Source organism: Homo sapiens, chromosome 19 (assembly GCF_000001405.40).
Source record: "Homo sapiens chromosome 19, GRCh38.p14 Primary Assembly".
NCBI lineage: Eukaryota > Metazoa > Chordata > Mammalia > Primates > Hominidae > Homo > Homo sapiens.
This window is the reverse complement of record NC_000019.10, coordinates 18868545-18896425: the sequence shown is the minus strand read 5'-3', so window position 1 is coordinate 18896425 and position 27881 is coordinate 18868545. Positions and strand designations below refer to the sequence as shown.

General features: G+C 57.2%; 2 protein-coding genes across 12 annotated transcripts in view, besides 3 other annotated features; both read left to right on the top strand.

The window, feature by feature from the left end:
* The window catches only part of CERS1 (ceramide synthase 1), a 28438-nt gene extending 557 nt beyond the window's left edge, over nucleotides 1–27881 (top strand). For 2 of the 10 annotated variants that reach the window (NM_001387443.1, NM_001387442.1), the window contains exons 2-7: nucleotides 2851–3010; nucleotides 12159–12339; nucleotides 15991–16152; nucleotides 17038–17185; nucleotides 17387–17496; nucleotides 18328–18515. In NM_001387443.1, the coding sequence (NP_001374372.1) occupies nucleotides 2896–3010; nucleotides 12159–12339; nucleotides 15991–16152; nucleotides 17038–17185; nucleotides 17387–17496; nucleotides 18328–18409 (798 nt within the window). In that variant the 5' untranslated portion in view covers nucleotides 2851–2895 and the 3' untranslated portion in view covers nucleotides 18410–18515. Of the gene's footprint in view, nucleotides 1–267; nucleotides 837–2850; nucleotides 3011–12158; nucleotides 12340–15990; nucleotides 16153–17037; nucleotides 17186–17386; nucleotides 18516–25806 lie in introns of those variants that run through there. The other 8 variants (NM_021267.5, NM_001387440.1, NM_001387439.1 and 5 more) reach the window with 8 other exon arrangements.
* GDF1 (growth differentiation factor 1) lies at nucleotides 268–27881 on the top strand. Of its 2 annotated transcripts, NM_001492.6 has the most exons (8): nucleotides 268–602; nucleotides 2851–3010; nucleotides 12159–12339; nucleotides 15991–16152; nucleotides 17038–17185; nucleotides 17387–17496; nucleotides 25807–26443; nucleotides 27036–27881. In NM_001492.6, the coding sequence occupies exons 7-8, from the start codon at nucleotides 26119–26121 to the stop codon at nucleotides 27827–27829; spliced, it is 1119 nt and encodes a 372-aa protein (NP_001483.3). In that variant the 5' UTR covers nucleotides 268–602; nucleotides 2851–3010; nucleotides 12159–12339; nucleotides 15991–16152; nucleotides 17038–17185; nucleotides 17387–17496; nucleotides 25807–26118; the 3' UTR covers nucleotides 27830–27881. The 2 variants fall into 2 exon arrangements, with proteins under 2 accessions (NP_001483.3, NP_001374367.1); NM_001387438.1 differs by lacking the exons at nucleotides 15991–16152; nucleotides 17038–17185; nucleotides 17387–17496.
* Nucleotides 1218–1267: a silencer, noted in NCBI's record as "silent region_10424". NCBI's record gives its function as "represses an Ori minimal core promoter by ATAC-STARR-seq in GM12878 lymphoblastoid cells {active_cell/tissue: GM12878}" and the evidence as "EXISTENCE:reporter gene assay evidence [ECO:0000049][PMID:35858748]".
* Nucleotides 11868–12368: an enhancer, noted in NCBI's record as "H3K4me1 hESC enhancer chr19:18994867-18995367 (GRCh37/hg19 assembly coordinates)". NCBI's record gives its function as "activates a minimal SCP1, AML or CMV promoter by ChIP-STARR-seq in primed H9 embryonic stem cells {active_cell/tissue: H9 hESC(primed)}" and the evidence as "EXISTENCE:reporter gene assay evidence [ECO:0000049][PMID:30033119]".
* Nucleotides 16175–16224: a silencer, noted in NCBI's record as "silent region_10423". NCBI's record gives its function as "represses an Ori minimal core promoter by ATAC-STARR-seq in GM12878 lymphoblastoid cells {active_cell/tissue: GM12878}" and the evidence as "EXISTENCE:reporter gene assay evidence [ECO:0000049][PMID:35858748]".

The window sequence follows — 27881 nt, the reverse complement described above, 5'->3', positions numbered from 1 at the left end:
GGGGTGGGGGAGCGGGGGGCGCGCGGGGCAGGCATGGGGGCGCGACACGGCGGTGCGCGGGGTCTCTCGGGGTCCAGGTCCAACGGGCCCCCAGCTCCGGCCCCCGCGCCTGGGTTTCTCTGCTGGGAAACGGGCAGGGGCGCGGGCCCGCCTCCAGGGCGCCCCGCGTCCCCGCTGGCCGCCCCCCAGCCGCGCCCCCAGCGGGGCGGAGCTTGCGCCGGTCCCGCCCCTCCGCCCTCCGCTCTCCCGCCCGCGCGCCCCCGGCCCAGCTGCGGCGCGTGACGCGGGGCGCGCGGCTCCGTCGGCTACCGCGGGCGGGCGCAGGCGACGGGCACGGCGGGCGAGCGGGCGGTATGGCGGCGGCGGGGCCCGCGGCGGGGCCGACGGGGCCCGAGCCCATGCCGAGCTACGCGCAGCTAGTGCAGCGCGGCTGGGGCAGCGCGCTGGCGGCGGCGCGGGGCTGCACGGACTGCGGCTGGGGGCTGGCGCGTCGCGGCCTGGCTGAGCACGCGCACCTGGCGCCGCCCGAGCTGCTGCTGCTGGCGCTCGGCGCGCTGGGCTGGACCGCCCTGCGCTCCGCGGCCACTGCGCGCCTCTTTCGGGTCAGTGTGGCCGGGGGCCGGGACGAGGGGACCCCGGACTGGGGGAAGCCGGGACCGGGGACCTGGGGCCGCCGGCGCGTTCCTTTCTTCCAGCGCTGGCTGCTGCGGATGAAGGGGTCGCCGGAACGTGGGTGGGGGCCTCGGGCTGGAGAGGCCCAGGACGTTGGAGCCCCAGGATAAGGTCTCTCGGGCCGCCGCGCGCCCCCTTCAGACAGTGCTGCGTGGGGGAACCGGGTAGATGCGGGGGTGTGGCCGGGCTGGGGTGAGTCTGGGACATGGGGGGCCCGAGACAGGTGGGATGTTTGAGACGTGGGGGACCGAGGCACGGCCCTTTCCGGTCAGTTTGGGACCAGGGGGCCCCGCGCGGTGGATGGCTCCGGCCACCGCGCGCTCTTTCCGGCAGGGCCGAGCCAGACACTGAGAAGCCCAGGACCGGGAACGGGAGGGCTCGGCGCACCGCGGCCTGCGCCATGCGCCTCCCTGCCATGCGGGCTGCGCCCCGGCCCGGAGCGAGGTCCGCTGCCCGTTTTCTGCTGGGTCCGTGCGGCGGCGGGGCCGGCTTGCCCGCTGTAATCGGGAAGAGGCAGGAGCTGCCCGGTCGCTGCCTTGTGCCTATCTGGGGTCAGCGCCACCCTCCGACCAGGGATGGCAAGGGCCTGGGTGCTCTGGCCACGCCAGTGGTCGCTCCCTTGGAGGTGACATGGCCCGGGGCTTCAGGGTTGGACTGTGCTGCCTCCAAGAGGCGACAGCAGAATTCCCCAGTTTCTGCGGAGACCATCGCCCCTGCGAGAGAGTGACCATGATGGTGACATTGGCGCCTGACCCCACTCACTTCCCTGGGGAGGGGTCGCTGTGGCAGGAGCTGGTTGGAAGGTGTTTGGGCCTTTAGCTTGGCCTGGACACCCCCGTGGACCAGCTGGTGTCACCCCGCCCGTCTGGCTGGAGGGTGCAGGGACAATGTGCCCAGCGCCAACAAAGGGGCCTTTCTCTGCTGGCCGGGAAGAGGCTGGCCCTTGTGAGGTCGATGATGGGATGTTGTCTGACTGCCACTCTCCCCACTCCCGTCCCCATATCACCCACATGAGGGAGAGACCCCAGCCACACCCCTACTGTGGGAGGGGGAGACAGGGCTGTCCAGGGCCCCTCCCTGGGTCCGCAGTGGTCTTTATCCTGCTTGTTGCCCCTGCCTTCTTCCCAGTTTCCAGCTGGGAAGCCCGAGACCCAGGAGGGCAAGCCGTCCCCCACCCCTGCGGGACAGGAGGATGTGGCGGCTGGTAGACTACCAGGGCCGAGCCCCGGGGGCCCTCCCCAGCCCCTTGGGTGGGGTGCTCGCCCCATTTCGAGGCTCGCCCTTCCTCAGAAATGGGTGGAGGGGCTGCCGGGTGTTCCAAAGCTGATCTTCTTGGCAGCAGCCTGGTTGCCAGGGGTTACCGGAGCCGGCTCCAGCTGTCTCCATGACAACTGCTGGGTGCTCTGGGCTCCGGCCCCCTCAGCCTCTGGGAAGGGGGTGGGACTTGTCCAGGGGTGGGGCTTGGCCGGGCAGCTCTGGAGCCGCGCCCCGCCACCCACCCACCCACCGCACTCCCCAACCCCTGCCTTGGAGCCAGCAGCTTCCTCTGCACTCCCAATGTCCCCTCAGGGTCTCACCTCGCCTGTGACACCTTTTCCGCCTCCTGTCCCCTTTTTCTGCCTCCAGCCCCTCCTCCCCTTTCATCGCCCCCAGGTTCCCATGTCCCCGCCACACCTTCCCCCTAGTCTCTCCCAGCCCTCTAGCCTCTCCAGAATCTCCCACTGAGGGGGCGGCTTCCTCACAAGTTCTTCCTCTCCCCTCTGTGTCGGTCCCATGGGGCTCTCTGTGTTTCCCAAGATGCCCCCATATAACCCCCTCCATGTTCCCTTCAAGGGTCACCCCCACCAGCCCAACTCCCTTGGGCTGACGCATCCATCCGTCTCCCTCATCGTAAGCCCAAGTGTCCCCCTTCTGGCCCCCAGAGCCCTCCTGCTCCCCTCGGGGCCTCCCCCCTCACTCCCCTCCCAGCACCGCGGCGGCCGGACAGCTGGGCACTAAGTTTAGCCTTGGCAGGCGCCTGTGGGCTCTGTTTATGCTCCAGGTGGCTGTGGGCATGGGGGACAGGCCTTCCCAGTGCTGCCCGGCCTGGGGAGTCCCTGGGCCTCAGTTTCCCCACCCCAAAGGAGCAGTCTCTGGCCCCCAGCACCAATGGCTGCCCGCCTGTCTTCTCCCCCATAGCCCCTGGCGAAGCGGTGCTGCCTCCAGCCCAGAGATGCCGCCAAGATGCCCGAGAGCGCTTGGAAGTTTCTCTTCTACCTGGGCAGCTGGAGCTACAGTGCCTACCTGCTGTTTGGCACCGACTACCCCTTCTTCCATGACCCACCATCTGTCTTCTACGGTAGGGGCCCTGAGGGGATGGCCGGGAGGGCTCTGCTTAAAACACAAAGACGCCAGGCTTGTGGTCCCAGCTACTCATGAGGCAGAAGCAGGAGGATCACTGGAGCCCAGGAGTTGGAGGCCAAGGGGAGCTATGAGCACGCCACTGCACTCCAGCCTGGACGACAGAGTGAGACCCTGTCTTGTATCAAAAAAGAAAAAGAGGGCCAGGCGCAGTGGCTCACGCCTGTAATCCCAGCACTTTGGGAGGCCAAGGTGAGTGGATCACGAGGTTAGGAGATCGAGACCATCCTGGCTAACATGGTGAAACCCCGTCTCTACTAAAAATACAAAAAATTAGCCGGGTGTGGTGGGCGCCTGTAATCCCAGCTACTCGGGAGGCTGAGGCAGGAGAATCGCTTGAACCTGGGAGGCAGAGGTTGCAGTGAGCCGAGTTCGCGCCACTGCACTCCAGCCTGGGCAACAGAGCGAGACTCTGTATTAAAAAAGAAAAGAAAAAAAGAACAGTGTAAGGGGATGCTTATCAGAATCAGAGCTCCTATGGGTGTCTCAGAAGTTAAGCCAGCCCCAAGACAAAGGTGATCCCTGGGGACAGGAAAGGGGGTATCTGGCCGTGTTGGAGCTCAGGGAAGACATCCTGGAAGGACCCCTGTGTGGGTCCAGGCAGGCATTCCAGGTGTCGGTAACAGCACGTGCAAAGGCCCGGAGGCACTCACGTTTCATGGGGACAGGAGGAGGGTGGCTGCAGAGAGCTGAGGCAGCAGCTTGAGTTCTGTTCTGGATGTGGTTGTTTTTCTTTTTTTGAGATGGAGTCTCGCTCTGTCGCCCAGGCTAGAGTGCAGTGGCGCGATCTCGGCTCACTGTGAGCTCCGCCTCCTGGGTTCACGCCATTCTCCTGCCTCAGCCTCCTGAGTAGCTGGGACCACAGGCGCCCGCCACCACGCCCGGCTAATTTTTTGTATTTTTAGTAGAGACGGGGTTTCACCGTGTTAGCCAGGATGGTCTCAATCTCCTGATCTCATGATCTGCCCGCCTCAGCCTCCCAAAGTGCTGGGATTACAGGTGTGAGCCACTGCACCTAGCCTGAATGTGATGTTTTTAAGCACAGCATGGAGAGGATTGGGTTTTGTGGATGACAAAATGCTTCCTCTGGCTGCCCTATGGAGGTGGGAGGGTCCCCTCGGCTTGCACCATCTTGGTGAGGAGATAAACATGATGAAGCCTGGTGCGATGGCTCACGCCTGTTATCCCAGCACTTTGGGAGGCTGAGGCAGGTGGATCACTTGAGGTCAGGAGTTCAAGACTAGCACGGCCAACATGGTGAAACCCTGTCTGTACTAAAAATACAAAAATAAATTAGCCAGGCATGGTGGCGCGTGCCTGTAATCTCAGCTACTTGGGAGGCTGAGTCAGGAGAATCACTTGAACCCGGGAGGCGGAGGTTGCAGTGAGCCGAGATGGTGCCACTGCACTCCAGCCTGGGTGACAGAGCAAGACTTCATTTCCAAAAAAAAAAAAAAAGATGAGAATGAGAAGTGGGCTGGGCGTGGTGGCTCACTGGCTCACACCTGTAATCCTAACACTTTGGGAGGCGGAGGTGGGAGGATTACTTGAGCACAGGAGTTCAAGAGCAGCTGGGGCAACATGGTAAGACCTCCATCTCTACAAAAAATTAGCCTGGTATGGTGGGGCACGTCTGTAGTACCAGCTACTTGGGAGGCTGAGGTGGGAGAATTGCTTGAACCCGGTAGGTGGAGGTTGCAGTGAGCTGAGGTCATGCCACTGCACTCCAGCCTGGGCAACAGAGCGAGACCCTGCCTGGGGGTTGGGGGTGTGGAGGGGAAGATGATAAGAAGTGGCTGTGTCCAATTGATTGGAGTGGATGTGGCCTGAGCTCCGGGTGGGCTGGGCAGGGAGGTGACTGCAGCGCGCTCTGTGTGACCTGTCCTGGCAGAGAATGCAGGGCAGGGCCGGCATCGCCACTGGGCAGGCTGATGTAGGAAACCCCATCTGCGATGGGGCAGTGGGGGCTGCGGCTTCTCTGCCCTGCGAGGACCACCAGGGCTGTGGGCCAGGGACACACATGATAGCTGTTTCCTGCCATGTGATGGGAACAGCCTAGAGGGCTCCTGGTGGCACGGAGCCCAGAGTGTACAGTGGATGTGCCACCCATGGGGCCAGTTTTCCCATGTAACACACCTTGATCCCCTAGAGGGGAGGTGTTAGCTGTTGCTCAGTTTTCCTTCTAGACGGATGACCCATGATCGAACTCTCATAACTTTTTTTTTTTTTTTTGAGACAGTCTCACTCTGTCACCCAGTCTGGAGTGCAATGGCACGATCTCGGCTCACTGCAATCTCCACCTCCCAGGTTCAAGCGATTCTCCTGCCTCAGCCTCCTAAGTAGCTGGAATTATAGGCACGCGCCACCACCCTCGGCTAATTTTTGTATTTTTAGTAGAGACGAGGTTTCACCATGTTGGCCAGGCTGGTCTCAAACTCCTGACCTCAGGTGATCCGCCCGCCTCAGCCTCCCAAAGTGTCAGGATTACAGGCATGAGCCACCACGCCCAGCCTCTCTTAACATTTTGGGCATGGACTTGCCTTTAGCTGCTTTTTTTTTTTTTTTTTTTTCCCCAGACGCGGTCTTACTCTGTTGCTCAGGCTGGAGTACAGTGGCACGATCACAGCTCACTGCAGCCTGGACCTCCTGGGCTCAAGCAATCATCCCACCTCAGCCTTCTGAGTAGCTGGGACCACAGGTGTGTGCCACCACCCCCAGCGAATTTTTTTGTGTTTTTTGGTAGAGATGGGGTCTCACTATGTTGGCCAGGCTGGTCTTGAACTCCTGGCCTCAAGCAGTCCTCCCACCTCAGCCTCCCAAAGTGGTGGGATTACAGGCATGAGCCACCTCGTCCAGCCTTAGTTGCTTTTTGTAAATGACACTCACAAGTTAGCTGATTATTTCCATGTCTATTTATTGAGCGACTACTGTATGCCACAGCTGAGACACAGCTAGTAACGGGTCAGAGAAAGCCCTGTGCCCTCATGAAGCTGGCCGTGTGGCAGGGGCAACAGACGGTGCAGTACGCAGTCTATCAACAGCAATAAGTGTGGATGAGAAAACTTGTGTGGAGAGAAGAGGCAGTGTGCTGTGTTGGGGAGGTGGGGAGGGGCAGTTTTTAGCAGGGACAGGGGTGGCCCCACTTAAGGGGACTGAGTGAGGGCCTGGAGGTGCCTGGAGCAGGCAGGAGAGGCAGGGACTGCTGTCCAGGCAAGTGGGGGCCATGCCATCCAGGCCTCGGAGGCCACGGTCAGGATTTGTTACTTATCTGTGGGCTGGGAGCAGAGGAGGGATGTCACCCTGGGTTGGGCATCTACCCCAGGGGTCCAGGAGGGGGCTGACAGCAGGAGCTGGAGCCTGAAGGGACTCCCACCAGGATTGAGCTGAGGGGAGGGGATGGGAGCAAAGTGGCCAATTTTAGAAATGTTTAGAAGGCAGAGCTGATAGTATTTGCTGCCACCCTAGAGGTGGTGTGAAAGGAAGAGGGTGAGGATGATGCTAGGGTCTTGTGAGATGGGGGCTGGTCAGGGAGACCAAGATTCTGGATTCAGGGATGGAGACAAGGCAGGGGTGGCATTGAGTGTCCCAACAGCAGGTGGGATATGAGTATGAAGAGGTGGGACAGGCCAGGTGCGGTGACTCACTCCTGGAATCCCAGTACTTTGGGAGGCCAAGGTGGGAGGATCACTTGAGCCCAGGAGTTCGAGACCAACCTTGGGAATATAGTGAGACGCCATCTCTACAAAAAATAAAAAAATAAAATTAGCTGGATATGGTGGCGCGTGCCTGTGGTCCCAGCTCCTGGGGAGGCTGGGGCAGGAGGCTGAGGCTGAGGCTTGAGCCCGGGAGGTCGAGGCTGCAGTGAGCCAAGATTGCACCACTACATTCCAGCCAGGTTGACAGAGTGAGGCCCTTTCTCAAAAAACGAGGGAGAGGAGATTTGAGACCTCTGAACTAAGCCAGGACTTCCCCCCTATCCTGTGGGGAAGGAGCTACAGGACGGTTGGGGGGCCTCTGTTGGAAAGGTGGGCAACAGATCCAGCAGGGTGGCCCTGGGCAAAAGCTCGGGCTCACATGTTTCTGGAGAGTCAGGATGGAGAGGATCAGGGCATTTCAGAGTTTCAGACAATTTTCATTGAAATTCTGGAAGAGGGCTGAAGTGGGCCGGGTGCAGTGGCTCACACCTGTAATCCTAGCATTTTGGGAGGCTGAGGTGGGCGGATCACTTGAGGCCGGGAGTTCCAGACCAGCCTGGCCAACATGGTGAAACCCTGTCTCTACTAAAAATACAAAAATTAGCCAGGCGTGGGGATGCATGCCTGTAATCCCAGTTACTCGGCAGGCTGAGGCAAGAGAATCGCTTGAACCTGGGAGGTAGAGGTTGCAGTGAGTCGAGATCATGCTACTGCACTCCAGCCTAGGCGACAGAGCAAGACTCTGTCTCAAAAAAAAAAAAAAAAAAAAGAAAGAAAGAAATTCTGGAATAGGGGAGGGTTTTTTGTTTGTTTGTTGTTTGTTTTTTTGAGACAGAGTTTCGCTCTTGTTGCCCAGGCTGGAGTACAATGCCACGATCTTGGCTCACCACAGCCTCTGCCTCCTGGGTTCAAGCAATTCTCCTGCCTCAGCCTCCGGAGTAGCTGGGATCACAGGCATGTACTACCACACCCGGCTAATTTTGTATTTTTAGTAGAGACAGGGTTTCACCATGTTGGTCAGGCTGGTCTTGAACTCCCGACTTCAGGTGATCTGCCTCCCTTGGCCTCCCAAAGTGCTGGGATTACAGGCATGAGCCACCGCACCTAGCCTGTTTTTTTTTTTTTTTTTTTTTTTTTTTAAGAGACAGGGTCTCACTCTGTCGCCCAGGCTGGAGTGTGGTGGTGTGATCTCAGCTCACTGGAACCTTTGCCTCCTGGGTTCAAGGGATTCTCCTGCCTCAGCCTCATGAGTGGCTGGGATTACAGGCACGAGCCACCACACCCAGCTAATTTTTTTTTTGAGATGGAGTCTCGCTCTGTCACCCAGGCTGGAGTGCGGTGGCACCATCTCAGCTCACTGCAACCTCTGCCTCCCAGGTTCAAGCGATTCTCCTGCCTCAGCCTCCCGAATAGCTGGGACTACAGGTGTGTATCACCATGTCTGGCTAATTTTAGTATTTTAGTAGAGCTGGGGTTTCACCATGTTGGCCAGGCTGGTCTTGAACTTCTGACCTCAAGTGATCCACCCACCTTGGCCTCCCAAAGTGGTGGGATTACAGGCGTGAGCCACCTCAGTTGGCCTCCATTTCTTATTGAGGTAAAATGTATGTAGCTTGAAATTAGGCATTTTAGCCAATCACAAAAAGACAAATACTATGTGATTCCACTTATATGAGGTTCCTACAGTCATCCCACTCATAGAGACAGAAAGTGGGATGGGGGGTGCCAGGGCTGGGGGAGGGGAATGGGGAGAGACTGTTTAATGGGGACAGAGGACTGTTCCATTGGGGAAGAAGGAGAATGTTCTGGAGATGGCTGCTGGTGATGGTTGCACAATAATGTGTACTTAACAAATGGCTTAGATGGTAAGTTTTTGCCATATAAATCTTAACACAATTTTTTTTTTTTTTTTTTGAGATGGAGTTTCACTCTTGCTGCCCAGGCTGGAGTGCAGTGGTGTGATCTCGGCTCACCACAACCTCCGCCTCCCGGGTTTAAGTGATGCTCCTGCCTCAGCCTTCGAGTAGGTGGGATTACAGGCATGCGCCACCATGCCCAGCTAATTTTTGTATTTTTAGTACAGACAGGGTTTCGCCATGTTGGCCAGGCTGGTCTCCAACTCCTGACCTCAGGTGATCCACCTGCCTCCACCTCCTGGCCAAAAATTAACCATTTTAAAGCGAACAGTTCATCAGCTTTTAGTCCATTCACAGTGTTGTTCAACCACCCCCTCTGTCTAGGTCTGGAACATTATCATCCCCCACAAAAGGAAACCCCGTCCCATTAGCAGTCACTCACCAGTCCTCTCCCCCAGCCCCTGGCAGCCACCAATCTACTTCCTATCTCTGTAGATTTGCCTGTTCTGGGCATTTCAGATCACTGGAGTCTCACACTGTGTGACCTTTTGTGTTTGGCTTCTCTTACTCAGCATCATGTTTTTGGGGTTCACCCACATTGTAGCATGGATCCGTGCTTCATTCTTTTTCATGGCTGCATAGTATTCCACTGTGTGGAGGTAACCTATCTATTCTTCATCCATCCACTGATGCACATTCGGGTTGTGTCTGCCTTTTGGTTGTGTGCTGCTGTAGACAGGGACACATGAGTATCTCTTTGAGTCCCCGTTTTCCATTGTCAGGCACACACCCTAGTGGACTTGCTGGGTCATGGTGACCGTTTGTGTGTACATGGCCTTCAGGGCTGAGTGAGGAGAGTGGACAAACAGTCATGGGGGCCAGGGATCGCTGGAGAGATGTGGGCAGGAGACAACAGTGCCTGGACTGGGGTGGGGGTGGCATGGGCCAAAGAGGGGACCCTGGATGGGGGTCCTAGTGTAACTCGGCTGCAGAAGGGGCCAGGCCGAGATGAAAGTTGTCGCAGAGGCGGTTCATGGGGCATCTGGAGGCAGCTGGGCTGCAGGGCAGGTCACCAAGGCAGGGGCCAGGAAGCCGCAGATGGAGGCTGGAGGGTCTGTCTTGGGGGTCTGCAGAAAGGGAGTGGCCAGAGAACAGGGAGCAACCCAGAGAGTTCCAGGTTGGTGTGGGCAGAGCACAGCATGGCTTCCCGCCTTTTTTTGTTGTTTGTTTGTTTGTTTGTTTTGTTTTGAGACAGGGTCTGGCTGTGTCTCCCAGGCTGGAGTGCAGTGGCAACATCTTAGTTCCTGCCACCACCTCTGCCTCCCTTCAGGACTCAAGTGATCCTCCCACCTCAGCCTCCCGAGTAGCTGGGACCACAGGCGCCCACCACCACACCCGGCTAATTTTTTGTATTTTTAGTAGAGACGGGGTTTCACTGTGTTAACCAGGATGGTCTTGATCTCCTGACCTTGTGATCCGCCCGCCTCGGCCTCCCAAAGTGCTGGGATTACAGGCGTGAGCCACTGCGCCCGGCCCCAGCTAATTTTTATATATTTTTTTGCAGAGACAGCGTCTCACCATGTTGTCCAGGCTGGTCTCGAACTCCTGGACTCAAGCAACTCTCCTGCCTCGGCCTCTCAAAATGCTGGGATTACAGGCATGAGCCACCGTGCCCGTCCAGAGCATAGCCCTTGAATTTGGTGTCTGGCAGCCTCTGGGGATGTGGCTGAGGAGAGGAGGAGGTGGACGTGGTGGGGTGGGCTGGTGTGTCACCCATCACCTGAGCGTGGTGGTCAGGTGCACCAGGAGGCAGGAGGAGGGGAAGGTGAGGCAGGACCCGCTTGGCGGGAGACCCTGCGCTTGGTGGCATGGTGTGCCCGGGCATGGCAAGACTCCGTGGGCAGCCGCATCTGTCAGGGCCAGGGATTTGCAGGGAGTGGGCCCAGGACACCCGCAAGGCAGGGCTCTGTTAAAGACAGGAAGAGGCCGGGCGCAGCGGCTCACGCCCGTAATCCCAGCACTTTGGGAGGCCGAGGCGGGCGGATCACAAGGTCAGGAGTTCAAGACCAGCCTGGCCAACATGATGACACCCTGTCTCTACTGAAAAAAAAAAAAATTAGCCAGGCATGGTGGTGGGTGCCTGTAATCCCAGCTACTTGGCATGCTGAGGCAGGAGAATCACTTGAACCCCGGATATGGAGGTTGCAGTGAGCCGAGATCCCGCCACTGCACTCCAGCCTGGGCTACAGAGCAAGACTCCATCTCAAAAAAAAAAAAAAAAAAAAAAAAAACGAGAAGGGGCGCTGGGCTGGGTGAGGTGGCTCATCCCTGTAACCCCAGCACTTTGGGAGGCCAAGGCAGGAGGATTGCTTGAGCCCAGGAGTTCGAGATCACCCTGGGCAACATGGCAACACAAAAATTAAAAAAGAAATAAATTATCTAGGCATGGTTATGGGTGCCTGTGGTCCCAGCTACTCAGGAGGCTGAGGTGGGAGGATCACTTGAGCCCAGGAGGTCGAGGCTGCAGTGAACTATGATCACACCACTGCACTCCAGCATGGGCCACAGAACAAGCCAACTCTAAAACTATATATAAAACATTTTAAATGTATATAATGATAATAATGTGTCTATATTAGTTCAGCATTTGTAGCAAATATACCACTTAAAGCCAGGGAAATGGAAATCTGTGGGTATGTTGGGGCAGAAGAAAGAAAGGAACTTTCTGTCCTATCTGCTCAATTTTCCTAGAAACCCAAAACTCTTCCTAAAATAAAAATCCCTGCTGGCCGGGCACGGTGGCTCACGCCTGTAATCCCAGCACTTTGGGAGGCCGAGGCAGGTGGATCACCTGAGATCAGGAGTTCAAGTCCAGTCTGTCCAACATGGCAAAAGCCCATCTCTACTAAAAATACAAAAAAATTAGCCGGGCATGGTGTCCAGCGCCTGTAATCCCAGCTACTCTGGAGGCTGAGGCAGGAGAATTGCTTGAACCTGGGAGGTGGAGGTTGCAGTGAGCTGAGATCGTGCCGCTGCACTCCAGTCTGGTGACAGAACGAGACTCTGTCTCAAAAAAAAAAAAAAAAAAAAAAAGACGGCTGGGCGGGGTGGCTCACGCCTGTAATCCCAGAACTTTGGGAGGCCGAGGCAGGTGAATCATGAGGTCAGGAGATCGAGACCATCCTGGGTAACACAGTGAAACCCCGTCTCTACTAAAAATACAAAAAATTAGCCGGGCTTGGTGGCATGCACCTGTAGTCCTAGCTACTCAGGAGGCTGAAGCAGGAGAATCGTTTGAACCCAGGATGTGGAGCTGAGATCATGCCACTGCACTCCAGCCTGGGCGACAGAGGGAGACTCCGTCTCAAAGAAAAAAAAAAAAAAATAGAATTGGGAATGGAAAGCCAGCAGTCAGACACGCATGGTTACCTGGGTACTGGGAGGACACGTGTGGCTTGGAGGGTGTCACCGGGTCATGGAGGCGATCGTCTAGAGGCTTCGCAGGGCCCTGACTGTGAGATTTGGCTCTCCCCAGACTGGACGCCGGGCATGGCAGTGCCACGGGACATTGCAGCCGCCTACCTGCTCCAGGGAAGCTTCTATGGCCACTCCATCTACGCTACGCTATACATGGACACCTGGCGCAAGGACTCGGTGGTCATGCTGCTCCACCACGTGGTCACTCTCATCCTCATCGTCTCCTCCTACGCCTTCCGGTAAGGACAGGATCGGGTGGCAGGGGGCCGAGGCACAGCCCACACAGAGTGCGGAGGCTGATGTTGCGGCGGGGCACAGAGGAGGCCGTGGAGGGGATCACATCAGGTCGGAGTGCTCAGGGTTCCAAGGTCAGAGTGCTCAGGGGTCCGACGAGGGGACAGACCAGAGGCAGGAAGGCTGAGGAGGGGATGTGGGCCCGGAGATTCCTGAGGGAGATTCCGCTGGGATGGGGTGAAACAGGCCCAGAGAGCCATAGCCACCCCACCCCACTCACCCACCCAGCTCTTCAGACGCTGCCCTTGACCAGCCAGGTCACACACCCAGGAGTTCCTGAGCACCTGCCACGCCCAAGCAATGGGGGCATGGCTGTGAACGCAGCTGACACACCCTGATGTTCTAGAGCCAACCACAGCCGTCAGTGAGCCTTTCAGATGGAGTCTGTCCAAACCTCACCATGCTGTGTGCATAAAACCCACCCGGCTTCAAAGCCTTCACATACAAACGAGTGAAAATATCTTATCCACCCTTTTATTTCTCTCTCTCTTTTTTTTTTGAGACAAGGTCTCACTCTGTCACCCAGGCTGGAGTGCAGTGGCGTGACCATTGCTCACTGCAGCCTGGACCTCCTGGGCTCAAGTGATCCTCCCACCTCAGCTCCCCGAAGTGTGGGGATTACAGGTGTGCGCCACCACGCCTGGCCTTGTTATCTCGACTCCATATTGAAATGACAATATTTTGGATATACTGAATTAATTAGAATGCATTATTAAAATTAATATTACCTGTTCTTTTCTCTTTCTTGTTAAATGTGGCCAATAGAAACTTTAAAATGAAATACACTGCTCATATACTATTCCTACGGGACTAGCTGCTCTAGCTGCGATAATAGGGTAGCCACGCCCCACAAATATAGAGCAACAAAGAGGTGGCCCTTTCAACTTTAATTAGACTTAAATAAAACTCCAGGAGCAGTAGCTCATGCCTGTAGTCCCCCAGCTACTTAGAAGGCTGAGTCAGGAGGATTGCTTGAACCCAGAAGTTTGAGTTCAACCTAGGCAACGTAGGGAGACCCTGTCTCTAATAAATAAATTTTTAGGCTGAGTGCGGTGGCTCACGCCTGTAATCCCACCACTTTGCGAGGCCGAGGCGAGCGGATCATGAGGTCAGGAGATCGAGACCATCCTGGCTAACACAGTGAAACCGTGTCTCTACTAAAAATACAAAAATTAGCTGGGCGTGGTGGTGGGCGCCTGTAGTCCCAGCTACTCAGGAGGCTGAGACAGGAGAATGGCATGAACCCGGGAGGCGGAGGTTGCAGTGAGCCGAGATCATGCCACTGCACTCCAGCCTGGGCGACAGAGCGAGACTCCGTCTCAAAAATAAACAAACACGTACATAAATACATTTTTAAAATTACTTTATCTTATTTATTTACTTACTTATTTTTTTGAGACAGAGTCTCGCTCTGTCGCCCAGGCTGGAGTGCAGTGCCATGACATTGGCTTACTGCAACCTCCGGCTCCCAGGTTCAAGCAATCCTCCCGCCTCGCCTCAGCCTCCCAAGTAGCTGGGATTACAGGGGTATGACATCACACCGGCTAATTATTATATTTTTAGTAGAGATGGGGTTTCACCATGTTGGCCAGGCTGGACTCGAACTCCTGACCTCAAGTGATCCACCTGCCTCGGCCTCCCAAAGTGCTGGGATTACAGGTGTGAGCCACCACGTCTGGTTAGTTTAAAAAATAATTTTAAAAAGCCCCTATTCCATTCCTCAGCCACACAAGCCACAGTTCAAGGGCTCAGTGGCCACAAGTGGCTGGTGGCTCCCATGTTGGACAGTACAGGTTTAGAACATTCCCATAGTTCTAGAAAGTTCTATAATTCAAGGCTCTCTAGAGGGCAGAATCAGATGATAGAACCAAAAAGGAAGGAAGGAACAGTTCATTTGAAGGTGATAAGAATTATGGAGAAAAGGCCAGGTGCAGTGGCTCATGCCTGTAATCCCAGCACTTTGGGAGGCCGAGGTGGGTGGATCACCTGAGGTCAGGAGTTTGAGAACAGCCTGGCCAACATGGTGAAACCCTGTGTCTGCTAAAAATAAAAAAATTAGCTGGGCATGGTGATGAGTGCCTGTAGTCCAAGCTACTCAAGAGGCTGAGGTGGGAGAATCGCTTGAACCCGGGAGGCAGAGGTGGCTGTGAGCCGAGGCATTCCAGCCTGGGCAACAGAGTGAGGCTGTGTCTCCAAAAAAAAATTGTGGCTGCAGGTGTTAGGTGTTAGTTGGTCTGGGGGTGACAGATGAGCAGATGAGCAGAGACTGAAAGGAGTGAAGGGAGGTGCTGAATGCCAGGCACTGGCATGCTGGGTCATGGGGACAGCACGTGCAAAGGACCTGTGGCAGGAGCCCAGGAGCTGTCAGGAGACAGAGCAAGGAACAGGGACTTGGTGAGAGACACTTCCCCACGTCCAGGGTGAATCCAGGACCCTCGGGCAGCTCATCTGTCAGATGGAGACTCTGTGGAAGGACAGGGGATGGCCTTCGGGCTTATTAAGATCCTAATGGGGCCGGGCACGGTGGCTCACACCTGTAATCCCAGCACTTCGGGAGGCCAAGGCGGGTGGGTCACATGAGGTTGGGAATTCGAGATCAGCGGGACCAACATGGTGAAACCCCGTCTCTACTAAAAATACAAAATTAACTGGGCGTGGTGGCACATACCTGTAATGCCAGCTACTTGGGAAGGCTGAGGCAGGAGAATTGCTTGAACCCGGGAGGTGGAGGTTGCGGTGAGCTGAGATCGTGCCATTGCGCTCCAGCCTGGGCAACAAGAGCAAGACTCTGTCTCAAAAAAAAAAAAAAATTAAAAAAAAAAAGGATCCTGATGGGCTGCGGCAGAGGCCTTTCCTGCAGCGATGGCCAGGCTGCACGTACAGACCTGGAAGTCTCATCATGGTGGTGGTGTCCAAAGTGAGGGACAAGCTCATGGAGGATCTGGACACAGAGTACCCCAGGCCTGTGAGAGTCGGGGGTCATAGAGGGTCAGAGGTCACCAAGATGAGGAGGGGCCAGCAAGGAACTTCCAAGACCGGGCACAGTGGCTCGCGCCTGTAATCCCAGCACTTTGGGAGGCCAAGGTGAGAAGATCGCTTGAGCCCAGGAGTTTGAGGCCATTCTGGGCAACATAGCAAGACCCAGTCTCTACTAAAAATTAAAAAAATTAGCCGTGTGTGGTGTTGCTTTCCTGTAGTCCCAGCTTCTCCGGGGGCTGAGGTGGGAGGATCACTTGAGCCTAGGAGTTTGAGGCTGCAGTGGGCCCGATCACACCACTGCACCCCAGCCTGGGCCACAGAGCAAGACCCTGTCTCAAAAGAAAAATAAACTTCCAGGGAGCTCCCTGGGCCACATGGGGACACTGAGGCAGGGAAGATGAGGGTCTGGTTGGGGGTGCACGGCTAAGTGGGGGACAGTGAGGAAAGGGCATCCTGGGAAGTGGAGATGGGCAGGGCAGGCGAGGCAGGAAGGGTGGCTTTGAAGAGGCCCACGGGGAGCCTGAGGTGTAGCCCAGGGACTCTGCTGGGGGCCTTAGTGCAGAGTGGAGGTCCCCCAATGTGAGCTGCCCTCTCCTCTCTGCCTGCTGCTCCCCCAGGTACCACAATGTGGGCATCCTTGTGCTCTTCCTGCACGATATCAGTGACGTGCAGCTTGAGTTCACCAAGCTCAACATTTACTTCAAGTCCCGCGGCGGCTCCTACCATCGGCTGCATGCCTTGGCAGCAGACTTGGGCTGCCTCAGCTTCGGCTTCAGCTGGTGAGTGGTAGGGAGTGCTGGGCAGGGAGGGAGGTGTGGCCTGGTGAGGTGGGTGTGTCCAGAAAAGGGGCGGGACCAGGCAGGGAAGGAGGCGGGGCCCGGTGAGGTGGGTGTGTGGCATGACAGGGGAGGGGCCTCATGATTTGGGTGGGACTGAAGGGGCGGGGCTATACAGGAAAGGAGTAGGACAAGGGTGGGGCCAACTGAGCTAGGAGTGGGGCTGGGCAGAAAAGGATAAGCCAGGTGAGGTGGGTGGATCCAGGAAGGGGAGGGGCCTGGTGAGATAGGTTGGGCCAGGCATGGAAGGGGAAGAGCTAGACTAATACAGAGCAAGCCAGGGGTGGGGCCAAGCAGGGTTGGGGTAGGGCTAGGCAGAGAAAGAGGTAGGGCTTTGGTGTGGTGGGGAAGACCTGGCAGAGAAAGGGAGGCGCTGTGCAGGGAAGGAGGTGGGGGCTTGGTGAGGTGGGCGGGGCCTGGCAGAGAAGGGGAGGGACTGGGCAGGGAAGGAGGTGGGGCCTTGGTGAGGTGGGTGGGGCCTGGCAGGAAAGGGGAGGGACTGGGCAGGGAAGGAGGTGGGGTTTGGTGAGGTAGGTGGGGCCTAGCAGAGAAGGGGAGGGACTGGGAAGGGGAGGAGGTGGGGCCTTGGCGAGGTGGGTGAGGCCTGGCAGGGAAGTGGGGGGCCAGGCGGGGAAGGATGTGGGGCCTTGGCGAGGTGGGCGGGGCATGGCAGGGGAGGGGAAGGACAGAGCAGTAGTAGAAACAGGTGGGCAGAGGTGGGCAAGGATGGGATAAGGGGGCAAGGGTGGGTCTAGGACGGGATAGGACAGGGACTGGGTAGGGCACCGTCCCCCTCCACCCACGGCCTCCTGACTCCTCCCACCGCAGGTTCTGGTTCCGCCTCTACTGGTTCCCGCTCAAGGTCCTGTATGCCACCAGTCACTGCAGTCTGCGCACGGTGCCTGACATCCCCTTCTACTTCTTCTTCAATGCGCTCCTGCTGCTGCTCACCCTTATGAACCTCTACTGGTTCCTGGTGAGTCGGCCCCGGCTCTCCTCCACAGTGGCGGTCCCGTCCTCGTCCCAATCCCTGTCCCCTCCTCAGGCAGTCCCGGGGAGGGGCACGTTAGGTGGCAGACAGCCCGTGTGGAGGGCCCGGGACAGGAGCACATGGCTGTCAGCAGGGCAGTGGCGTGGGGGCTTTCTTCTCACTGGCACCTCCCCTCCCCTCTCGCAGTACATCGTGGCGTTTGCAGCCAAGGTGTTGACAGGCCAGGTGCACGAGCTGAAGGACCTGCGGGAGTATGACACAGCCGAGGCCCAGAGCCTGAAGCCCAGCAAAGCCGAGTGAGTGTGGAGGGGCCCGCACCCCGCGTTCCCTCCTTTAGTGTCACCCGTCCAAGCGTGTTCGTGGGCAGGCCCCCAAGACCCAGCAGCAGATGAGGCCGACGCGGATGCTGCCCCCCAAGCCTACTCCAAAACAGAGACTGCAATAAAGGCGTGGACGATGTGGCCAGTACCCTGAAGGACAGGACAGTGAGGAAGGGGAGGGAGAGGCTGGGGAGGGGCAGGCAGGGCGACAGGCAGGGTCTCAGCGGTAGGGACACTGAGGGCCAGGCCTAGTGGCTGGTGTGGCGGGAGTGGCGAGCCAGGGCCCTGTGGGTGGTGAGGAGTAGTTGCTGGCCAGCCTGGATGACGACCTCTGACCCATGTCGCCACTGGAGCTGGTGGCAGTGGGGCTGGGGAGGAAGGAACGCCAAGGGCCACAGAGAGAACCCAGGCTCCATCTGGGCCGAGACATCCTGGCCTCTGAGTTTGACAGGGGAGCCCACTGCCCGGCCAAACAGGAGCTGGGGCTGGGAGCTCAGACTCAGTCCAGCCCAGGTGGGAGTCCTGGGGAAGGAGATAGCCCACGAGCCTCACCAGCCCTGGGTGACAGCCAGATGGTGTCCGAAGCCCCAGGCCTGGGGCAGGCAGGGGGTGTCTGGGCCAGGGATGAACGGAGGCCAAACTGGGTAACAAGCAGAGTCGGGTGTGCAGTGTCTCATAGGCAACGTGAGGAGTGTTTGAGCAGGAGCCGGGGCAGGAGGTTGTGGAAGGCCCTGGAAGGTGCCGACCAGCCAGGCCCTCTGATTTGGCCGGTGGGGGCCATCGGTGACGTGGGAACGATGGTTTCAGGGAAGCAGTGGCTCAGAGCTCCGTGACGTTTTTTGGAACGGGAGGTGCGAGATGCAGACATTTAACACATCCGGGGCTGTAGCCAGGCAGAGGAGCGTCAGACCCCCCACCCTGTTTGGAAGGGAGAACCCATCAGATTCGCCTTGGGTGTAGATGAAACAGAAATAAAAGAATCAAAGACGACTCAAGACTTTTGGCTCGAGCTGGTATTGACTGAGATGGGATTGGGGCAGAGGGTCACATGGGTTCTGGCAGATGCGGCGTTAGGAGCCTCCTTTTGAGGGTGTTAGATTGCGCTGTCCTTTGAGCATGAGTCAAGAATTCTTTTTTTTTTTTTTTTTTGAGACAGGGTCTCACTCTGTCGTCCAGGCTGGAGTGTGCAGTGGCACGATCTCGGCTCGCTGCAACCGCCGCCTCCCAGGCCCAGGAAGTGATCCTCCTGCCTCAGCCTCCCAAGTAGCTGGGCCCACAGGCATGCACCACCATGCTGTGCTAACTTTTGTATTTTTTGTAGAGCTGGGGTTTCCTCATGTTGCTCAGGCTGGTCTCAAACACCTGGGCTCAAGTGGTCCACATGCCTTAGCCTCCCAAAGCTGCTGGGATTACAGGCATGAGCCACTGCAGCCGGCCTGAGTCGGGAATTCTCCAGAGATCAGCTAGGTCTCTCCAAGGAGTCTTCCAAAGGTGGCGATGGCTAAAGGGGGCACCAGTTTGGCCACATCTAGACACCAGGAAGGTCCTCTTGCTGTAGAACAGTGAGCTCATGGTGGGGACATCCTCGGAGGTGCAGAACCCAGAACAAGAGGAAGCCAGACCTCCCAGCCCCACCAGTGTCTGGCTCTGTCCCCGCTGAGGATGTCTCATCAGAACACAGGGTAAGAGCTGGCATGTCCTCTAGGACAGCAAAGCATGCACCCTGTACAGAAGTGCCAGAGAGTATCAGGGAACACCCTGTGATGATTGATCCCATAGGCACCACCAGCAGAATTCGATTCTCCAAGGACAGCCGGAGTTAGTGCAGTTGGGTATAAAACAGGATGGGACGAAGGCAGTCAGGCTGAGAGACGTCTTCCAAAAGAGCCCGTCAGGATGCCCAGAAACTGTCAAGATCATGGGAATCAGGGAAAGACCGAGGAACAATCCAGGGTCAGAGGAGACCAAGGAGACAGATGCCACCTGCAGCATGGGCTCCTGGACCAGGAAAGGGACCTTCACCAAGAAGCTGGTGAATTCAAATCATGTGGAGAGTTTAGTTAATAGCAAAGCACCAATGTCGGTTTCTTTAGCTGCAACCCATGTGCCATGGAAATGTAAGCTGTAATGTCAGGGGAGCTGGATGGAGGTGACAGGAGCTCCCTCTACTCCCTTTGTAGCATCTCTGTAAATCTAAAATTAATCTAAAATAAAAAAGTTTGGCCAGGCGTGGTGGCTCACGTCTGTAATCCCAGCACTTTGGGAGGCCAAGGCAGGAGGATGGCTTGAGGCCAGGTGTTCAAGACCAGCCTGGGCAATATAGGGATATGCAGTTCCTACACACACACACACACACACACACACACACAACCCAATCAAAACAAAACAAAACAAAAAACAGCCATGTGTTGTGGCACACACCTATAGTCCCAGCTACTCAGGAGGCTGAGGTGGGAGGATCACTTAAGCCAGGGAGCTGCAGTGAGCCGTGATCACACCACTATACTCCAGAGCAACAGAGCAAGACCCTGTCTCAAAACAAAGAAAAAAGACAAACCAAAACAAACAAAAAAGTTTATTTTAAAAACAGGTATGAGAGACCATCAAAAATGGCATTGAAGACCAGGCGCGGTGGCTCACGCCTGTAATCCCAGCACTTTGGGAGGCCAAGGCAGGTGGATCACTTGAAGTCAGGAGTTGGAAACCAGCCTGGCTAACATGGTGAAACCCCATCTCTACTAAAAATACGAAAAATTATCCAGGCATGATGGCGCACGCCTGCAATCCCAGCTACTCAGGAGGCTGAGGCAGGAGAATCGCTTGAACTCGGGAGGCAGAGGTTGCAGTGAAAAAAAGGCATTGAATGTTACTTTCCCAGGAACTCTATAACAAAAGGAACACAAGCTTGTGACTTAAAACCACAGGAACTTATTCTCTAATATTTCTGGATGACAGATGTTCAAAATCAAGGTCAGCTGGGCGGTGCTCCCTCTGGGAACTCTAAGCGAGGATCCCCTCCTTGCCTCTTGGGCTTCTGGTGGCTCCAGGCATTTCTTGTTTTATGGCTGCATTGCTCCAGTCTCAGTCTCCGTCTTCCCAGGGCTTTCTCTTCTTCTTTTCTGTCTCTCTTCTCTCTCATAAGGACACTTATCATGGTGAAGCAGGTCAGGGTCACTGGTCTTGTTGTCTAAGGTGTTGTCTGAGCTTGTGGTCTCATGACCAAGAAAATTAAGGAACGTGGCCACAAAGGCCGAGGTTGGAGCAAAAGTTTAATAAAAGAAAGCTCTCCACAGCAGAGAGAGGATTCCAGGTGGATTACCGTTTTAACAGTTGAATCCAAAAGCTTCTTTTTTTTTTTTTTTTGAGACAGTGTCTCGCTCTGTCGCCCAGGCTGGAGTGCAGTGGTGTGATCTCAGCTCACTGCAACCTCCGCCTCCCAGGTTCAAGTAATTCTCCTGCCTCAGCCTCCTGAGTAGCTGGGACTACAGGCGTGTGTCACCAGACCCAGCTAATTTTTGTATTTTTACAAATGGGGTTTCACCATGTTGGCCAGGCTGGTCTTGAACTCCTGACCTCAAGTGTTCCTCCTGCCTCAGCCTCCCAAATTGTTGGGATTATAGGCGTGAGCCACCGCGCCCAGCCTGTTTCTTTCTTTCTTTTTTTTTTTTTTTAGAGACGGTCCCACTCTGTCGCCCACGCTGGAGCGCACTGGCTCAATCATAGTCCACTGCAGCCTCAACCTCCTGGGCTTAAGTGATCCTGCCGCCTCAGCCTCCCAAGTAGCTGGAACCACAGGCACCCACCATCATATCCAGCTAATTTTAAAGTGTTTTTGTAGAGACGAGATCTCACTATATTACCCAGTTTGGTCTCAAACTCATGGCCTCAAGCAATCCTCCCACCTCAGCCTCCCAAAGTGCTGGCATTACAGGCATGAGCCACTTTGCCTGGTTCCGAAAATTCAATCAGGATTGGAACCCTTCAGAAAACCAAGACCGAGAACCACTTTTAGGTAACTCAGGAGGCGTGAAGCAAATCAGAGAGCAATTAATTGGCTTGATCTCTTCCTCACCCCATCTCACCCCATTGCTGCTTCTTGAGCAGCCTCACCTCCAGGGTCCCCTCATCTGTACCCCTTCCCCTGAATTCCCTGTCCTCCTCATGGCCCTCAGGGGACCCCTGGTGATGTGGGTAGCCAGTACCCTTCTCTCCTACACTGACGCCCGTAGCTTCCTTGTGGTCACTCCCATGTCCTTGTCATGACTCAGCCCCTCTGTCCAAAGTCCCCATTGCCCTCTCAGGGGCTGCCGGGACCGGCCATCCGTTGAGACACTCTCACCTCTCTCTGGATCTGGTGACCTGCACTCAATGCTCCGTAAATCCCATTTTCACCTCTGCTGCACCTGCCACTGCCCCTGCAGCAGTTCTAAAGAACTGGGCTGGGCACGGTGACTCACACCTGTAATCCCAGCACTTTGGGAGGCCGAGGCTGGAGGATGGCTTGAGCCCAGGAGGTCAAGGCTGCAGTGAGCCATGACTGCACCACTGCACCCCAGCTGCGGTAACAGAGCAAGACCCTGTCTCAAAAAATAAAAATAGAAAACTGTGAACTTCAGCACCTACATCTGGCCCATGTAGGAGCATCTTCTCTCCTGAGGGTTCCTGGGCACCAGCTGTCCCCATCATCATCATCTCCTGCACTGATAATCTGGCCAACATGTCCCCAAGAAAGCAGAAGTGGCCGGGTGAGGATGTCCAGCTGCTGCTACAGTGGACAACAGTCCCTCTCTCTGAGGCTAGGGATGTTCACCCAGCTTGCCTATTCAAGGACATTTCAACCCAGGAGAGAACGTGCTCTCTGCTCTTCTCCACCACTGGCCTCATCAGCCTGTTTTCCCTCCCTTGTAGCAGAATTCCTAGATCCTCCTGGGTCCTCCTCAAACCCAGCTGTGCCCCATCTTCCTCCCCCCATCCCGAAGACCACTCCTGTCCAGCTCCCATGTGGCTCTCTTGGTGCTAACCCCAGAGAGTCCCCTCCCCTTCTTCTTCTTTTTTTTTTTTTTTCGAGACAGAGTCTCGCTCTGTCACCCAGGCTGGAGTACAGTGGTGAGATCTCGGCTCACTGCAACCTCCGCCTTCCAGGTTCAAGCGATTCTCCTGCCTCAGCCTCCCGAGTAGCTGGGATTACAGGCGTGTACACCACACCTGGCTAATAGTTGTATTTTTTTTAGTAGAGATGAGGTTTCACAATGTTGGCCCAGGCTGGTCTTGAACACCTGACCTCAGGTGATCCACCCATCTTGGCCTCCCAAAGTGCTAGGATTACAGGTATCAGCCACCATGCTTGGCCCCGGCTAATTTTTAAAATTTTTGTAGAGATGGGGTCTCACTGTGTTGCCCAGGCTGATCTCAAACTCCTAGGGTCAGGTGATCCACCTGACTCAGCCTCCCAAAGTGCTGGGATTACAGGCGTGAGCCACTGCGCCTGGCCCTTGAAGCCCTTTATTTACTCTGCACTCCTGCTCTGTCTCTCTGGCCTCCTGGCTGGCCTCCTTCTCTTCTGGGGCCCTTTCTCTACCCACACTTAATCCACACCGACTCCTACATTTCTCTCCTAGCCACGCAGCTCCCCTGAGTGCCATTCTCCATCTCCCGTGTTTGACATTTCCAGCATCTTCTAAAATATCTCAAATCAGCCCCCAATTTCACCCCAGACTCCCTCTCTAGTGATAGACTAGTGTCAACACTAGTCTATCGGTGTTGACAGCAATTTGGGGCAAAACCCTTGCAAGAGCCCAGGGGGTCTTGTCTCCTCTGTCTCCCTCTCCTCCTCATCTATGAAGAAACATCTAGAAAGTGCCTGCATCATCCTTCTCTCTCTGCACACTCGCTCTGGCTCTTTTCACCACAGTGGTGGATAGAAGCCAAAAGGTGTCCATCAGAGTAAGGCCATCTCGGCCCGGCATGGTGGCTCACGCCCATAAATCCCAGCACTTTGAGAGGCTGAGGCGGATGGATCACCTGAGGTCAGGAGTTCGAGACCAACCTGGCCAACGTGGTGAAATCCCATCTCTACTAAAAATATAAAAATTAGCCAGGCGCGGCGCTCACGCCTGTAATCCCAGCACTTTGGAGGCTGAGGCGGGTGGATCACCTGAGGTCAGGAGTTCTAGACCAGCCTGGCCAACATGGTAAAACCGCATCTCTACTAAAAATACAAAAATTATCTGGGCGTGGTGGCAGGCGCCTGTAATCCCAGCTACTTGGGGGGCTGAGGCAGGAGAATCACTTGAACCCAGGATGCAGAGGTTGCAGTGAGCCAAGATCGTGCCACCGCATTCCCGCCTGGGGGACAAGAGCGAGACTTCGTCTCAAAAAAAAAAAAAAAAATTACCCCGGGCATGGTGTTGCATGCCTGTAGTCCCAGCTACTGGGGAGGCTGAGGCAGGAGAATCCCGTGAACCTGGGAGGCAGAGGTTGCAGTGAGCCAAGATTGCGCCACTGCACTCCAGCCTGGGCGACAGAGCGAGACTCCATCTCAAAAAAAAACAAAACAAGAAAAAAAGATAACAGAGAAAAGCTATCTCCCCCAAGGTGGGTACACCGCCACCCACACCTCAAAAGGCAAATACTGACAGCTGTTTCTGAGTGGGTAGAGAACACTTTGAAGCTTTTGCAGAAAAAACAAACAAGAATCAGCAGGAAAGCTCTGATAAAAAGCCCCAGGGCGGGGGCACCCATCACCGAGGATGCTAAACTTTACCATTAGAGGAATCTATACTCTCTGTGGGAACTGAGTGGAGAAACTAACCTAAGACCTTAAAACCTTTAGCAAATACTAAAGACCATCCTGGAGGGCAGGAATGGAAAGCACGGGGACCCTCTGGAAAACACAGTGAGGGTGTGTCTTTGTTTCCCATAAGCCTTAGGGCAAACCCCCACCTTATACCAAAGGTGTCGATGCAGAAATGGAATCCCTGGAGTCATCCCAGAGCCAAAAGGGGACAGTGTGTCACGGAGGTTTGTTTATGGGAAGAATCGAGAAGCCACAAGGGTGGATGAAGAAACGCCACTCACGGTCTCAAGGATCACAGGCAAAATCAGAAGACAAGTGACAGATGGGAGGTCCAAGCAAGGCTTATCTCCTCTCAGATAAAGACCAACAGTCCTTGGATGGGGACAGCCAGTTGGCTGTGAAATGCATGCAGAGAAGCTGAGCTTCAGCCTAAGAGAAGAGCGAATTAAAGTGACAGAAGCCCTTTGGGAGGCGGAGGAGGGCTGACTGCTTGAGCCCAGGAGTTTGAGACCAGCCTGGACAACATAGCAACCTCACCTCTACAACATAGCGACCTCATCTCAACAAACAATAAAAAAAGTTAGCTGGGGCCAGGCACGGTGGCTCACGCCTGTAATCCCAGCACTTTGGGAGGCCAAGGTGGGCGGATCACCTGAGGTCAGGAGTTCAAGACCAGCTTGGGTGATATGGTGAAACCCTGTCTCTACTAAAAATACAAAAATTAGCTGGGTGTGGTGGCAGGTGCCACCACACTACTCAGGAGGCTGAGGCAGGAGAATCGCTTGAACTCAGGAGGCAGAGGTTCCAGTGAGCTGAGATTGTGCCACCACACTCCAGACTAGGCAACAGAGCAAGATTCTGTCTCAAAAAAAAAAAAAAAAAAAAATTGCTGGGAGTGGTGGCGTGCCCCTGTAATCCCAGCTACTCTGGAGGCTGAGGTGGGAGGATCCATTGAGCCTTGGAGGTTGTGCCACAGCTCTAGCCTGGACCACAGAGTAAGACCAAAAAAAAAAAAGGAAAATAAAAGAACATGGAAGGGAAGTAGGTGGAGACAGCAGATGCCAGCCAGGGCCACTGGAGTCAAGGACTAGCCTTCGTGGGGTGGGTGGCAGAGGAGAGGAGGATGTGCAGGGTCCCACTGTGGAGGCGGTGGAGTTGTCAGGCCCAGGCCGGTACGTGGGTTTTGCCCTCCAGCGGCCTGGAGAGGCAGGGAGGAGGGGAAGAGGAAGGTTTAATTGGAGAGGGGGAAGCAAGGAGGAAGTGCCAGGGTGCCAGGGGGGACATACGTGCCTACGGGGCAGGTTGAAGGAGGGGCAGGGTGAAGGCAAGGAGGGGCAGGGTGAAGGCGAGGAGGAAGCCACAAGGCGAGGCCCGGGCCTGGCCGGGTAAAAGGAGCCAGGGGGTGTGAAACGGCCAGAGAAGAAGCGGGAAAGAGGGCCAGGCGGCCGCGTGGGGCTCCCAGGCTAACCTGCGCCGGTTCTGACCCCCAGGAAGCCACTGAGGAACGGCCTGGTGAAGGACAAGCGCTTCTGAACCCCTCGGCCCCGCCCCCGTGGACCCGGCCCCACCCCGAATACCCCGGCCACGCTCCCCGTCCTTGGCCGCCCCTCCACCCCCTCCAACTCTGCTCCTCTAGGGCCGCCGCCACCTCCCCTGGGACCCCGCCCCCTCATCCTGCCTCCAGTTCCCGGCCACGCCCCCCAGGACCCCTGCCCCTCCGGGGACACCGGCCCCGCCCTCAGCCCACTGGTCCCGGGCCGCCGCGGACCCTGCGCACTCTCTGGTCATCGCCTGGGAGGAAGATGCCACCGCCGCAGCAAGGTCCCTGCGGCCACCACCTCCTCCTCCTCCTGGCCCTGCTGCTGCCCTCGCTGCCCCTGACCCGCGCCCCCGTGCCCCCAGGCCCAGCCGCCGCCCTGCTCCAGGCTCTAGGACTGCGCGATGAGCCCCAGGGTGCCCCCAGGCTCCGGCCGGTTCCCCCGGTCATGTGGCGCCTGTTTCGACGCCGGGACCCCCAGGAGACCAGGTCTGGCTCGCGGCGGACGTCCCCAGGGGTCACCCTGCAACCGTGCCACGTGGAGGAGCTGGGGGTCGCCGGAAACATCGTGCGCCACATCCCGGACCGCGGTGAGTGGGGCTTTCGCTGGGGACACTGGTCCTGGAGGCCAGACCTCGCAGGGCGAGCCTCGAGAGTGGCCCGGGGATGCCCGAGCAGCTCCGAGGGTCCCCACCCGCCCTGTCCAGGCTACTAGCAACTTCGGCCACCGCACCTCACCCTTTCCTCGTCATCTGCTGCACGCCGGGGACACATGTCAGGGGGTTCCCAAGACCAGTCCTTCTGCTTGATGCTGAAGCCCTGTCCCCACCCCATGCCCACCCCCACCTCTTGACACTAATGCCTTCCTGCAGATGCCATCCCCACACCCTAGCATGGCTTCCCCAGGGGCCCAGGTTCTGGCTCATGTCTCCCACTTCGGCCACCCCTCCTCCTATGCCCCCCGCCGAGGGCAGCCCACCCCCCCCGCCGCACCCCGCAGGGCGCCTTCCTTGGAACTCATGCCCTGCCCCCACTCCATCAGCCCACCCCGCCGCTTCACACCCTTCCCACAGACGGTGCGCCCCGAGCCCCAGCGTTCACCTTCCTCCCTGTCCCTAACCGAGACCCCATGGGCAGGCCGGGGACGCAGCGCGAGCCGAGTTCCTGTTCCTACCTCCCCAGGTGCGCCCACCCGGGCCTCGGAGCCTGCCTCGGCCGCGGGGCATTGCCCTGAGTGGACAGTCGTCTTCGACCTGTCGGCTGTGGAACCCGCTGAGCGCCCGAGCCGGGCCCGCCTGGAGCTGCGTTTCGCGGCGGCGGCGGCGGCAGCCCCGGAGGGCGGCTGGGAGCTGAGCGTGGCGCAAGCGGGCCAGGGCGCGGGCGCGGACCCCGGGCCGGTGCTGCTCCGCCAGTTGGTGCCCGCCCTGGGGCCGCCAGTGCGCGCGGAGCTGCTGGGCGCCGCTTGGGCTCGCAACGCCTCATGGCCGCGCAGCCTCCGCCTGGCGCTGGCGCTACGCCCCCGGGCCCCTGCCGCCTGCGCGCGCCTGGCCGAGGCCTCGCTGCTGCTGGTGACCCTCGACCCGCGCCTGTGCCACCCCCTGGCCCGGCCGCGGCGCGACGCCGAACCCGTGTTGGGCGGCGGCCCCGGGGGCGCTTGTCGCGCGCGGCGGCTGTACGTGAGCTTCCGCGAGGTGGGCTGGCACCGCTGGGTCATCGCGCCGCGCGGCTTCCTGGCCAACTACTGCCAGGGTCAGTGCGCGCTGCCCGTCGCGCTGTCGGGGTCCGGGGGGCCGCCGGCGCTCAACCACGCTGTGCTGCGCGCGCTCATGCACGCGGCCGCCCCGGGAGCCGCCGACCTGCCCTGCTGCGTGCCCGCGCGCCTGTCGCCCATCTCCGTGCTCTTCTTTGACAACAGCGACAACGTGGTGCTGCGGCAGTATGAGGACATGGTGGTGGACGAGTGCGGCTGCCGCTAACCCGGGGCGGGCAGGGACGCGGGCCCAACAATAAATGCCGCGTGGTCTGCTC